Source organism: Homo sapiens, chromosome X (assembly GCF_000001405.40).
Source record: "Homo sapiens chromosome X, GRCh38.p14 Primary Assembly".
Taxonomy (NCBI): domain Eukaryota; kingdom Metazoa; phylum Chordata; class Mammalia; order Primates; family Hominidae; genus Homo; species Homo sapiens.
In genome coordinates, this window is record NC_000023.11 from 29663243 (window position 1) to 29677397 (window position 14155).

The window sequence follows — 14155 nt, forward strand, 5'->3', positions numbered from 1 at the left end:
AAAAAAATGCACAAACAACCTATTGTAAAATGGAGTGAGTCAGTGCAATTGCACAAAGCATGTTTTATTGTCAGCTGTATAAATCTGTGAATATTTTTCGTGACCAGTTTTAGTTGGTGGATTTAAATGAGGTCACCAAAAAGTTATCTCTGAGTATAGCACTCGCCACAGTGCATCATAAATATGCTCTCATCTATGAACATCCTTATGAATGACTCTATGTCTTACTCATTCTTTTATCTCTAAATTAGTACTGACTATTTTAGGTCCTTCATAAATGCTTTTGAAATTGGATTATGGAGGTATTTATAATTATCTAGATTATAAGCTCTTTCAGGACTAAATGCTATGTTTTGTTTACATTTGATCCCCTTATAGTCCTGTACATTGCCTTGCATATTTAAAAGTCTTTAGAATATTTTTGTTGAATTGATTTGTTAAGTATAGATCAATCCCCCTGCTATGGAAACTAATGTGGAAAGTGTTAATGATTCTTAAATCAGGGTCTAAACCCCTTTTGATCCTTTGGTTGGATGTCCAGTTCATTATTTCACAAATAGTAATATTTTTCTTGTCAGGCTATATAGGCTGCTAAATGCTATTATCCCAAACTTTGATGGATATAATTAGAACAGATTTATTTTCCGTCTACTATATGCAGGAACTTAATCTGTTTTCCTATTAAATCCTCACGACAATTCATGCAGGAAGACTATGTCACATTCTCCATATAAAAAGACTGAGACTAAGAGATGTTAAGTAATTTATCCAACTTGCCAAACAAATAAGGCAGAATCAGGAACTGTTAGACCTGTTTCCTTGAACACTAACTGTGTGAAATCTTTCCTACTCTACCACAATGCTTCTAAGAAACAAAGTGGGCCGGGCGCGGTGGCTCACGCCTGTAATCCCAGCACTTTGGGAGGCCGAGGCAGGCGGATCACGAGGTCAGGAGATCGAGACCAGCCTGACTAACGCGGTGAAACCCCGTCTCTACTAAAAATACAAAAAATTAGCCAGGCATGGTGGCGGGTACCTGTATTCCCAGCTACTCGGGAGGCTGAGGTAGGAGAATGGCATGAACCCAGGAGGCAGAGCTTGCAGTGAGCGGAGATCGCGCCACTGCACTCCGGCCTGGGCAACAGAGCGAGACTCCGTCTCAAAAAAAAAAAAAAAAAAAAGTGAAGGGAACTAGTTAAAATACATTATGAAAATTATATATGACTTTGAAAGAAACATTTTATGGTAGGATAAGTATAGATATCCAAAATGTATCGAATATTCTCAATAGTATTTGAGGGATTAGTATGTGAAGGATTAAAATTAACTTTTAAAGGCGTGATTGTTCAACAGAGAAAGATACATGTATTATAGACACCTCACATTTCTCTCCACGTTAAGAACTTTAAAAAGACTCAAGAATCTTGGCCTCTTTACCCTGGTGTTGTCATATTTGTTTTAGGAAGATAGTGTTTTACTTTTTACCGTTCCATAGCTCAAGTGTAAAAGGGATGGGGAAAAGAGGGAGAGGCTGTATCCCTTTATGAATACTCAGGAAAAGTTAATATAGATAGGGAATCAATCCTGTACACATCTTCATGTGTTCTGACTTCTAGATGTTTCTCTAACTGGTAGCTAGTAAGAAAAATTAGTGTCCTTAAAATGTTCCTTCTATTATGCAGAAGCTTTGTCAACTGAGACATTAATAACTCTGTAAGAGAGGTCTGTTATTATTTAAATGTCTATAGAGCTTTACCGTTGTTAATAGGATGTTCTGAAGAATAAAATGAGGTCTTGAAAATACTTTTGTTGGTGAATACAAAGCTATGTTTAATGCAAAATTAGTGAGAGAAAAATCTCTACTATAATTGCTGTGGGTTTTTGTGGACAAAATATGATTAGGATTTAAAATTACCCTGTGCTTCATATCATTACTGTTACACTTTGTTTAGTTTTCAAAGTGATTTCCATTTGTGAGTGAGTGTGCATATGTGTGTATAGGTGTTTTCAAGGAAGAGAGAAATGTCTTCGTAACACAAGTTGTTTTCTTAACTATAAAAAGCCAGTTGGCTTAGTCATGGTCTAATGCTAAGAACGTTTCTTTTAAAATTGTAATTTGTTTGAATTTCCTTCTAGTTTCACCTTTGCCAGTGCAGAAAATAAAGAGGGTTTTTGTGGTTGTGTGTATGTTCATCTTGATTGGCCATTACCATAGCTGCATTTGTTTTCCAGTTCTGTGTTCTGTCAATTTAATCCAACTAATATTTATGAAATACCATAATGTTCCAGAAACATTCAAATAATGGAAAATTCAGCTCATATTCTTCCTTTGTGACTTTGTGACAGCAAAATTGGTCACCCTCAAGTGACTGTAGAACTGAGCTACATCTTAGCTTTAGCAGTCACCTCCTTTTCACAGTCATTTTGCCAATGTGTCAAATCAGTGGCTCAGCCATTGTGGTCTCTGGAAGTTTCCCTTCACTTCTATCAAAGACAGGCAAATCACATGAGAAATGTATCCAACTGATACCCATGATAATACCAAAACATGACACTTACAGATGATGACAGATTGCATGGCAAGAGCTCTCTGCCGTAGGTTATGATTATTTAGTTGCATGTTTCCAGTCTTGTAACAGATTGCACACACCTTGAGGGGAGACTGCACAGACCCATGCAATATTTGCTTGACAGAATTTTCCAAGGAGCACATAACAAAGAATGGGGAGGAAAAGATCTAGGAAGGATTCTAGTTTGAATTTGCTCTGTTATTTTTGGCAAGCCTTTTGATCTTTTTGTACCTCAGATCCTTGATCTCTAAAATAATAGAGTTGAATCAGTCCAGTTTTTTTTTAAGTTATTAATATTTTTTATTAAATTAAAATTTATTTTTAAATTTTTATTAAAGTTTTTTAACTACAAAGCACCGTAAGGTATAAGGACAGAAACTAAAGATATTCCAAACCCTGTATCATAATATCTGGCACATTATTCTGTTTAATATATATCAGTTGAATTGAATTGGATTTGTTTGGTCAACATCTTGGGTGAAATACTGATGTATAAGGTAAAATAAAAGCAGAACTAATTTTGTCAAAGAGGAATGGGTGGCACAACAAGGCAGGGAACTGAGCCCAGTGGGCACCCCCAAACTCCACCTACTCAGAGGGGCATGGTGAAAATCATACCATGTTAGAGAACACAGTTTCCAAATCAAAGAACTTAATAACCGTGTAATTCTTCCTGGCTTCAACATTCTATAATTCCATGACTGAGCTTTAAAGAATTCCTTTACTAACATCTAGTTTGCCACATGAAAGTAATATGAAAGATGTTAAGGATGTTGTAACATTATGCCGTCAAGTGGGTGGTGGGTTATGATGGAGAACCACAAAACCGTTTTGTATTTCTGAACAAATGTACTGCATACGGGTTTTATTATCTTTCTCTGTAGATCTTTATTTTTTGCCTTACTGCAAACTAATGTGGTATGCGTTTGAACAGGGAACAGTTCTCTCAGGTGCTTTCTGTAAAAAACTGTCAAGTCGTCTACTTGTAACTACATAGTCACAAGATTATATAAACTGACATAATTTACTGAATACAACACTTATTTAGATACCATAGTTGCTTTTGAAATTCACTGAAACCATTTGATAACCAGAGTCTAAGAAATGTAGATTTCCAACCTATTAATGGCAAACTATTTTGCCAATATTTAGTGAATATAAGCTGATTATTTAGGCAGTAGAAAAATAAAATCCATTAAGATCACTTTAGGCAGGAAATAAGAGTATTAAAGATTAATCAGAGTGATATCATATCTTTGAGAAGAATTTCAAAGCGATTGATCTCATCCTATTACCCAAACTTTCCTTTGCCCTTTATTTCTGTCCTCTTGTTAAATAGTAATAAAGATGAATGGATAATTATTCCATGAGCTATGAACAAAAGCTATCAATCATATATGAGGTTGTTCTTCCAAACTAAAACTCAAAACTCATTCCTTTTATTCTCTGACTTGGGGCATGTCATTCCTTTGTACTTAATGTGTTTTCCTTTAAAAAGAAGAGGAGGCAAGCTGCTAAAGCTTGAATTCTTGAACCCTCTGGTGATAAGTATATGTGGCCAACTCTTGGCAATTCTGCCTAGATTAGCCTTCCAGTTATCAACCAAGCTGGCATGTCCTCTTGGCAAGGAAGAAAGAAAGCCCTCAAAGCAAAAACATTTAGTTTAGCAATCCTTAAATGATAATTTATATACTTGATACAGAGTAGAAATTTCGGTGACAGGTTTCAAGGGACCTAGGCAATTCGATGAGAGAGGGCAGGGCAGAGTGAGGAGGCTAGATGAAGGAGAGCTGACTAACTAAAGTCCAGATATAGTCTAGTTTAGCTAGGAATGAAGTATGCAATGGAAAACCTATCTTCAAGATTTCTAATGGCAAACTCTTAGATTTGTGGGCTGATAATTGAAGTTGACGAGAGCACAGAGCAGAAATGTGTAGAAGCTTAAAATCGAAGAGAGTATATCATGCAAATTAGCAATAAACACTATAAAATGTAACGGATAATAGAAAGAGTTTAGACTAAATGGAAAATATCATTTAAAATATTCCCTTGGTGTGGGTGTGCATGCTTGTACTAATTTAATGCCATATCTACCTCACTTAGATTATGTATGTAGGAAATACTTAATGTAATAACTAAATGGCAGATTTTGAAATGATGTGATCTAGGATATGGAAACTAGGAATGGAATTAAGAATAATGAGATAAATTTATGCCAAAAAAAATCATTGTAATACATGCCACATATATCATGTGTAGCTTTAATTAACACAGAAAAAAATGCAGGACATCCCATTAAAAGTAAAACAAAGAACAAATTGAAAATGCTTTCTGAAACACAGTTATATGTTCACAAGGACTGACCAATCCTGATGGTCTAATTCATTAGTGTCATGTGACTGTCAGTCTGGAAGTGTTATATTTTACTCACGTACAATCTAATAGCTTTTCAGCTTGCCTGAAGGTGTTATCTGCAGTATGTTCATCGTTACTTGGTAGAGCACTTTAACACTACTTTGAAAGTGAAAAATATTTGGGAAAATAGACTGTATTCTATCTTTTAGTTTTATGCAGCATAACTATAAGTCTCTGTATTATTATTGTTGTTGTTTTTCAGCCCCTCTGACTGATAAGCCACCCAAGCTTTTGTATCCTATGGAAAGTAAACTGACAATTCAGGAGACCCAGCTGGGTGAGTAATTCCTTAATTCTAGTTAATATGCTGCTCTCGTTACATTGTGACAGTTAATAAGCCTAGATTGTAACCCGATGTAATACTCGCAGCTAAATCCATTTGTATTCATAGGGAACAGAATTAGAAAATGCTAGCATACCTAGCCATTTCATTCCTTACAGTGCGTGCCTTAGGACCCAGTTGGACATATGGATGTAAAAACTCACATGCTATTTAGATGGTTATTGGAAAATGAGATAGGCTGATGATTTTAGTGATGGTATTACAGCACTGTCTTACAAGGTTTGAATTGGTTTTCAAACAGACACTATGGAACAATTTGATTTATAATATCTATTAATAGGTTAAGATGCAATTTCTGAAATTTAGGGGAAAGGGTTCAAATTTATTAAAATAAATGTCACCATTATGGTTAAAAAACATTTTAAGTGTAATCAAATATAATATAAATTTTGCTAGTTATATTTTGGATAATCTATTAATAAAATATGACCAAGTGACTTTTGGTTAAGGGACTAGCAGATTTGGGACATAAGGCTATAGACAAAATATGTATTGAAAAAATGTACAATTATATACGAATCAGAATTCTGACTTATCTTAGAGGTTCATCTAGAAATTTTGAGTTTGATTTAGCTATATTCAGTTATACTAAATTATGAAAAATTTCCCTCTTAATTATAAATATATACATAGCAATTCTGTTATATTCTCTTAGGTCTTATTTTATTTGAAATGTAGTATGCAGGCATATGCCATAAACTTTGGCAGAAGAGTTTTTGTTTGTAGTGGTGCATTATAAAAGGTTATCAAAAATATGAATTTAAATGAATATCCATGTTTGTTAAGGAATTTCTTCTTAGATTAATCATACAAGAGTGAAAATGCATGTACTGTATATAACTAAAAAGAATCAGTATACCATCCCTTAAGTTATTAATGTTATTCTTATTCCTGGAGTGAGAATTTGCATCAAAATTGTAAATTCATTTTCCAAATGAAGATTACAGATGTGATAATCTTTACTAATAACATACCCAAAGTTATAGTACACAAAGATATGATGATGGTTTTAGCACCTATAAAATTATTGTGGTCAATGGCTTTCTAGCACTTGAAATGCTTATATTTGCTAAGTTTAAAGCATGAACATACAGGATTTATACAAGTCAGGGTGTTAATATCTTTCTTTGATTCAAGCCTTTTGAATTAATGTCATATAAATGCAAGTAGTATTATAATTGCTGTTATTTTGAGATGGAAGGTTACAGATAGCATTGAAACAGTGCCACATATGAAGCAAATAGGTGTACTCAAATTTTATCATGCACTTTATGCATGCCATGGCATCCTTAATTACACTAGAACTTATTGCTACATTATGAATACATTTTTATTTATAAATTCCCATAAGTAGCCATGCTCATACTGATCTTTCAATAATTCATAGGAAGATGTATTTCTAAGGAGTTATATAAAACTATTAAACATTTTGGGCCGAGAATGGAGGGTTTTATGGTACCAGTTACTATAATGAACATAGTAAAAATGAAATTAATTGTACGCCTTTGCTTGACAATATAATGAAAAGAATTTTATGGTTGATTGTTGCCCATTGGGTTTCTTTTTACTGTCCTTGAATTTGTAATAAGTCAGATTGTTCTCTACCTCTTACTACACTGTTTTACAAAATAGAATAATTGGTAAAGCTGTATTTAAAGCTTTACCTTCTCTTGAACAAAGTCACAAAGACTAACCACAGCAAATTAAAAATATGGAAATTTCTTAAGCAAATTGGAAGTGACTATACATTCATTTGAAGAAATATGGGCATGTCTGTTACTAAAATGCTTCAAAAAATACTCTTAAATCCTTTATTGTCACTCAAAAAGGAGCATGAGGTCTCTTTAACCACTGACTAAACTAGTGGATTATTTTAAGCAACTTTTATTTTGTTGTGTTTTATGATTTTGGTTCATAGTGTACAGATAAGTCGTTTACTAGTTAGAGAAATTCAACCTTAATCTTTGGATTTGTGAGCAACAGTTGATTTGAAGTAACTACCTTAATAGTATTCTTGCTACTTTGCTAGCATTGCTAGTAAGTAGGTGAATCAAAAAGGGTAAGTGAAAATAGGAAAGAATATTAAAGACAAAAAAGGCTTGAGATGAGGTGTCTAAAATATACGTTTTTTCCAAAATATGTATTTGGACTTTTCATTTTCTTAAGGATTTAATTTTTGCCCTTTCCATATTTGACAAAACTGCCTATTCAACAGGTTCAAAATATGATATAAATCCTAAGAGGGACTGAGTGAAGAGTCACGGGTTGGGAGTAAAGAGGGTGGCCTGCGCCCATGATGGGGAACTTATAACCTACTCTGTTGAAAACCTTCAACAGAATTTTACGGTCCAAGTATTCAGAGGTTTGCCTCCACTTGTTCCCAAATTGAGAGTTGACCTCAGAGGGATAACCAAACTCTTGTAAGAGTTACGTTATAAGAAAAATCATCAGGAATTACACAAAGCTAAGCTTGTACATGTCTGGTGACCTAACTTGAGCATCCTAGTTAAGTTACACACGTATCCAATCAACCCTAGTAACTGTGTGTCCATAGATTCTCTAGTTTGCTCACAAATATATGTAATTCATTAATAATGAACTTTGATATAATCAGGAAGTGCATGGATTTGCTCTTCATCTTCAAATTCATTTTCTCTGCCATTTGCTAGCCGTGCCTACCTTTCCCATTTTCTATATTTCTGTATTTTCTTGTGTCCTGTTCTTCTAATTCCTCCATCTTTTCAAACTGGAAAGGGTTTGATAGTGGTCATTTAAATTCTTTTATTGTAGAAAGAAAGCAAAAAGCACTAAAAGCAAAGTACTTAGGAAAAAATCATATAATGGAAACTAAATTCATATAAAATATGTAAATTGTCGGCTTTGAATTTGAATCAATACGTGGTCACAACCTGGCATTTCCATTTTAAGTGGCAACTGTATGTTATTTCTAAATGTAAAAAAAAGAACACTGTCCATTTACATAACTTTCAGGCATCAGCAAATATGTGAATAGCACTTTTTTGGGCAAAAGGCCCAGAAATTTCACTGTACAGTTCTGGAAGTCAATCTGGGAGGTGAGCCTGAGTATTTTTTCAGGCTACTATAGTCAAGAGAATCAAAAGACAGCCACAATTGTCTTGCTAAACCTGAGCCCTGAGGATGTCATTCAGAGATGTGGCCTGCCTGTTACGGCCAGGAGCCCACTTTCAGAACCGTCCAGGACAGAGAGCATATTCTATCGCTACCAGACTTTCAAAGAGTAGAAATCCACCCTACCCTTGACCTAATGGTACAAATTATATTTTACAACTCAGAATTCACTGAAAATTATCATTAATTACTTACCTAGATATGTGTATCACTTTATTTAAATGTCAGTGTTGTCTTTAAAATAATTATAAAGGTTAATGGTAGAAATTTTGGGGAAATAGAGAGAAGAATCTTTTTCTTACACTCTACATTATAAACGCATTCTGCTCCTATTAAATATTCTCACAAAATATCCTTTTAATGGCCGATGTGAATGTCATATAATTTCATATATATTGCTGGAAATTTGAATTCTTCACATTTTTGTTATTATAAATAATGTGATGGTCTTTACCTATACACTTTCCCTCTGACTCTATAGTTATCTCAACAGAACAAATTCCTAAAAGTAAAAATACTGGGTAAAAAGAAATAATTTTGTTAAAGGTTCTTAGTACATATTTTCAGAATTCTTACCAGAGAAGTTGTATAAACTCCCACCAGAAGTATGTAATAAGTATAAATACTACTTAATCTTTAACAAAATTAATAAAAGTATATCTTTATAACATAAAACTCTTAAAGATCTCTTTGATACTAAAATCACCTCTCTCTCCTCTCTTTTACCTCTTTTTCTCTCTTCACTCATTAAGTACAAGTGGATGCTCTTTGAGTTTATCCGTATTTGAAAGATCTAGCCCATTTAGGTAAATGTCTACCCTTGAGAAAATATACAAACCTAATCGAATGTCTATAATCTCTATCCATTTTCTTCTCTTGCTCATCCTAATGCTCAGCTAGGACCTTCCTCCAGATTCTATGTTTCTTAATAAAGTGCCCAGTAATTTCGTGATGTACTGTGGGCACATGGAATGTCAATAAATACTAACTGACAATAAGTTCTTCACAGCACAAAGGACACACACCTCTAAATTTTCTGCAAGAGAATATAATGTGTAGACTGAACTGTGTAAGCTGCCCAACCGTGCTCTTATTTTTCTTTACTAATTTATTCTCATTGTTAAGCTTGTTAAAAAGCAAGCACTTTTTGTATCTGAGTGGGTAATAAGGATTCACCAGATATTCACATCTGGAGGAAAATGGTTGGGGACATAAAGAAACTTCAGATTTTTAAACATAGATCTTAGTAAAAGGATACACATTTTATCCAATATATGCAATTTTATCCAGTTTAACTATAGGCTACTTAAAATAAAATGTCACACTAGAAATTAATTAGCACTCCTTGGCTTGTTCCACCATACTGTAGTTGCAGAATTTTAGATTTGGAATAGACCAAAGGAAAATGTCCATACATTTTATTACAGATCATAATTGACCACACCTTTTCTGAATAGTTACTACTCTGTGTTAGTAAACTTGGGAAATCTTTTTGTTTCCTCTCTAGGGTGAGAAAATACTTAATATAAATATCCTAGAAACAACATTATTTAGGTGTTGAATTTGATACCGAATTCTGAAAGTGTCATGTAATACTGTTGAGTCTAAACATTATTGTTTTGCTGAGTTGTACAAGTGATGTAAATATGACAGTTCCCAGAGATAGGAAAGTCAGTATCGGCCAGATTTTCTCATCTACATTCACGCTACTGGTTGTCATAAGCAAATGTAAGGCCATTGATTTGATTTTACCGGATCATAGAGCATATAAAGGACATATTTTCACCAACAAACTCAAATTAAAAAACCGTAAAACTTCCCTTTCTACTACGAGAAAAACAATAATATCCCAAGTCCAAGCTTTTTATGGAAAATGTGGTTCTTTTTGCCCATTTAAGAAAGACATACCAATCAGCATATTTCTAGTGCCTGAAATAAACCTGTTAGACATAAATTAAACCTTTTGGACAAATAGACATCGTAATTAAACCATGGAAAGATAAATAAAGACTGGTATTATAATTATTTAAACTATGGCATTCAATTCTACTCAATCCAAATTTATCATCCCAAGGTAAATGAAAGTGGTAACTCTTAACAGCTCTCTTAGTCTGTCTTGCTTTTGAAACCAAAAAGCACCCTAAAAATTGTGACTGACCTAAAAAGGAATACTTGTCATACCACTATTTCAGTTATTATCGTATATCATTAAACAGATGATAAATCAATAAATGGAAACTAGTATTCGTATTTTGAGGTCATTGTATGACCTAACTTACATGATTCTCTCAGATTCTCAAATTCAGTCACTTTTTGGTGACAGAGAGGAGAAATAGGTTTGGAAAAAAATACAACTGCATGTTTGCTTTAAAAACTGCTATCTACGTAGAAGTTGAAATTCCTTTTTATGTTTTAAGTGGTCAGGGCCAGTCACGGTAGCTCACTCCTGGTATCCCAGCACTTTGGGAGGCTGAGGCAGGCAAATCCCTTGAGCTCAGGAATTTGAGATCAGCCTGGTCAATATAGTGAGACCTCATCTCTACAAATATACAAAAATTAGCTTGGTGTGTTGGCATGCGCCTGTAGTCCCAGCTACTTGGGAGGCTGAGGTAGGAGGATCACTTGGGCCGAGGTGATTGAAGCTGCAGTGAGCCATGATTGTGCCACTGCGCTCCAGCCTCGGTGACAGAGCGAGACCTTGTCTCCAAAAATAAAAAAAAGTTTTAAGTGGTCAAGCCCTAGTTCTAGGACAGGTTTGCAATCCCATAAAAAAGATGGACGTGAAGGTAAGAACAGTTCCAGTGGGCCAATGATATCCAAAAGTTTGGAAGTCAGTTAAAGCACTTTTTTAAAAAAACTTTTATTTTAGGTTCAGGGGCACATTTGTAGGTTTGTTATATAAGTAAACTTGTGTCACAGGAGTTTGTTGTATAGATTATTTTGTGACCCAGCTGCTAGTACCCAATAGTTATTTTTTTCTTCTCTCTCTCTCTCCTCCCACCTTCCACCCTCAGGTAGGCCCCAGTGTGTGTTGTTCCTCTCTTTGTGTCCATGTGTTCTCATCATTTAGTTCCCACTTATAAGTGAGAACATGCAGTATTTGGTTTTCTGTTCCTGCATTAGTTTGCTAAAGATAATGGACTCCAGCTCCATCCATGTTCCTGCAAAGGACATGATCTCATTCTTTTTATGGCCGCATGGCATTCTGTAGTGTATATGTACCACTTTTTAAAAAAATCGAATCTGCTATTGATGGACATTTAGACTGATTCTATGTCTTTGTTCTTGTGAACAGTGCTGCAATGAACATATGCATTCATGTGTCTTTATGATAGAAGGATTTATATTCCTTTGGGTATATATCCAGTAATGGGATTGCTGGGTCAAATGGTAGTTCTGTTTTTAGCTCTTTGTAAACAGACAACCTACAGAATGGGAGAAAGTATTTGCAAACTATGTATCTGACAAAAAAGGTCTCATATCCAGCATCTATAACGAATTTAAACAAATTTACAATGAAGCACTTGTTAAAGTCTTTAAAAACTGGGACAGAGACAAGTGAGTTTTCTTGTTCACTTACTTTCCAAAAGGGCCAGAAGGGAAAGAAGAAGAAAGAAAAGGCCCAAGAAAGAGTGCTGTCACAGAGCAATGCAGAGAGTCCATTTAAGCTTCCAACTCCTGGTCTAGTCCCCACGCTGGACACTGACACATATTATGCAGATTACTCTTTTGCTGCAGCACTAAGAGTACTATTTTATTTGTTATCAGTCAGTTAAGAAGCTATATAGGTATAAATCTTTGCAATTCTAAATGAAGAACTTTAGGAGGTGGAGGGGGTCTGGAAGTTATCAGGTCAAACCTTTTTCTTTCTTTTTTTTCCTTTTTTTGAGACAGAGTCTTGCTCTGTCTGCCCAGGCTGGAGTGCAGTGGCGCCATCTCGGCTCACTGCAGCCTCCGCCTCCTGGGTTCAAGGGATTCTCCTGCCTCAGCCTCCCGAGTAGCTGGGATTACAGGCATCCGCCACCATGCCCAGCTAAAGTTTGTATTTTTAGTAGAGACGGGGTTTCACCATGTTGGCCAGGCTGGTCTTGAACTCCTGATCTCGTGATCTACCCACCTTGGCCTCCCAAAGTGCTGGGATTACAGGCGTGAGCCACCACACCCGGTTAAACCTTTTTCATTTATTGATGAGAAAATGGAGACTCAAAATGGCTACATGTTTTTTACATAAAAAATTTACAAAAGCTTGTTATTGCCATTATCATCATCCTCATGATCATCATATTATCACTGTTAGTGTTTTTGTTGTTATAATTAAGAGGCAGTGTACAGTAGTGGCTCCCAGTTGAAATCTCACACAGGCCTATGTGACAGTTTAGCTCCACCATTTACTTCTAGTGTGACCTTGAACAACCAGCTTTCAGTTTCCTAATCAATAAAAAAGGTACCAAGATAGTACTGCTTCTATGGAGGTAATGTGAGTATTTGATCGGATAATGCATGTAAAAATTAATAGATTACTTGGCATATATTAAGTAGTCAATACATGTTTGCTGTTAGTATTTGAGACATTTGAATGCTGTAAAAGAGTACTGTATATAGAAGATTCTTGAAATGCATTTTGAATGTCAATGCTTATTTGATCATGCTTATATTCTTACTACAGTATCATACTATGGCAGCAGATACAGCCTTCATTACAGGATAAATAAGATTTTAGAAAATTTATTTCCATCTCCCCTTTAAGGATTCAATATGCATACTAAATTTTTGTATTTCAATGAAACTTTTTAATTATAGAAATTATTGATTTTAGATTACTTAATTCATCAAGTCTAGCCAAATGCATATAGTAAGTACATAGTTATAACAGAAGAAAACTATCTCTATTCTTATTTAAAGAAAATGATAATTTAAAGGACACTATGCCACATGAATTTATAAATGACCATCAAGACAAAAATAAGAGTAAAAAAATTTCTCTTTTGTAAACAGAGGAAATTCAGGTATAATATTTTTAAAAACAAGAGACCTGGAAAATAATTTTCCACCATTATGCCTGTCAAGTTCTTCATGAAGGTTTTGATGATAGTCATATCATTTTATACAAAAAAATGCTGCTTTTCCCCTGACAAACACTGTTATCACAAAGCTTTCTAAGTCATTCTTAATGATTGAAGTTTACTAGCATATAAAAATACAGTCAGTATTGTATGTTAACAAGAACTACTCCTGAATTTGCAAAGTAAATGCCAATTTATCAGAAATAAACCTATCAAAGAACATTACGTTGTAGAATATTGAAAGAGGTTTTAGAATAAGAGTATGCACTGCATGACTGATGTCCATTAAAATAGAAACTATAAAAAGACCCACATCATTTAAAGTTTGAATATAAAGAGATACATTCACCCATAAATTTCCTCTCAAATTTCAGCTAAATAACTAAGGATTTCTAAATTATATGCAGACTCTCCATGAAAAATAACTAGTGCTTCAATAAGATTATGAAAATAGGTTACCAGTATTTTATGCTTTCATGTTAAAACACTTAGCATTCCTGTCAAACCTTACTTTATCAACTTAGTATATTCCCACAGATTTGTGGGTAAATTGAATCATCATCATTTCAGAGAAGTGTTCCCTTCATTTTTGATTGATTTTCGATTAGCAGTGG

The 14155-nt window shown here is 34.4% G+C and overlaps 1 protein-coding gene across 3 annotated transcripts in view; it reads left to right on the forward strand.

The window, feature by feature from the left end:
* IL1RAPL1 (interleukin 1 receptor accessory protein like 1) overlaps window positions 1–14155 on the forward strand; it is a 1369273-nt gene that overhangs the window by 1075797 nt on the left and 279321 nt on the right. For all 3 annotated transcript variants that reach the window (NM_014271.4, XM_017029240.2, XM_017029241.2), the window contains one exon: window positions 5188–5262. In NM_014271.4, coding sequence (NP_055086.1) covers window positions 5188–5262 — 75 coding nt within the window. The remainder of the gene's footprint in view (window positions 1–5187; window positions 5263–14155) is intronic.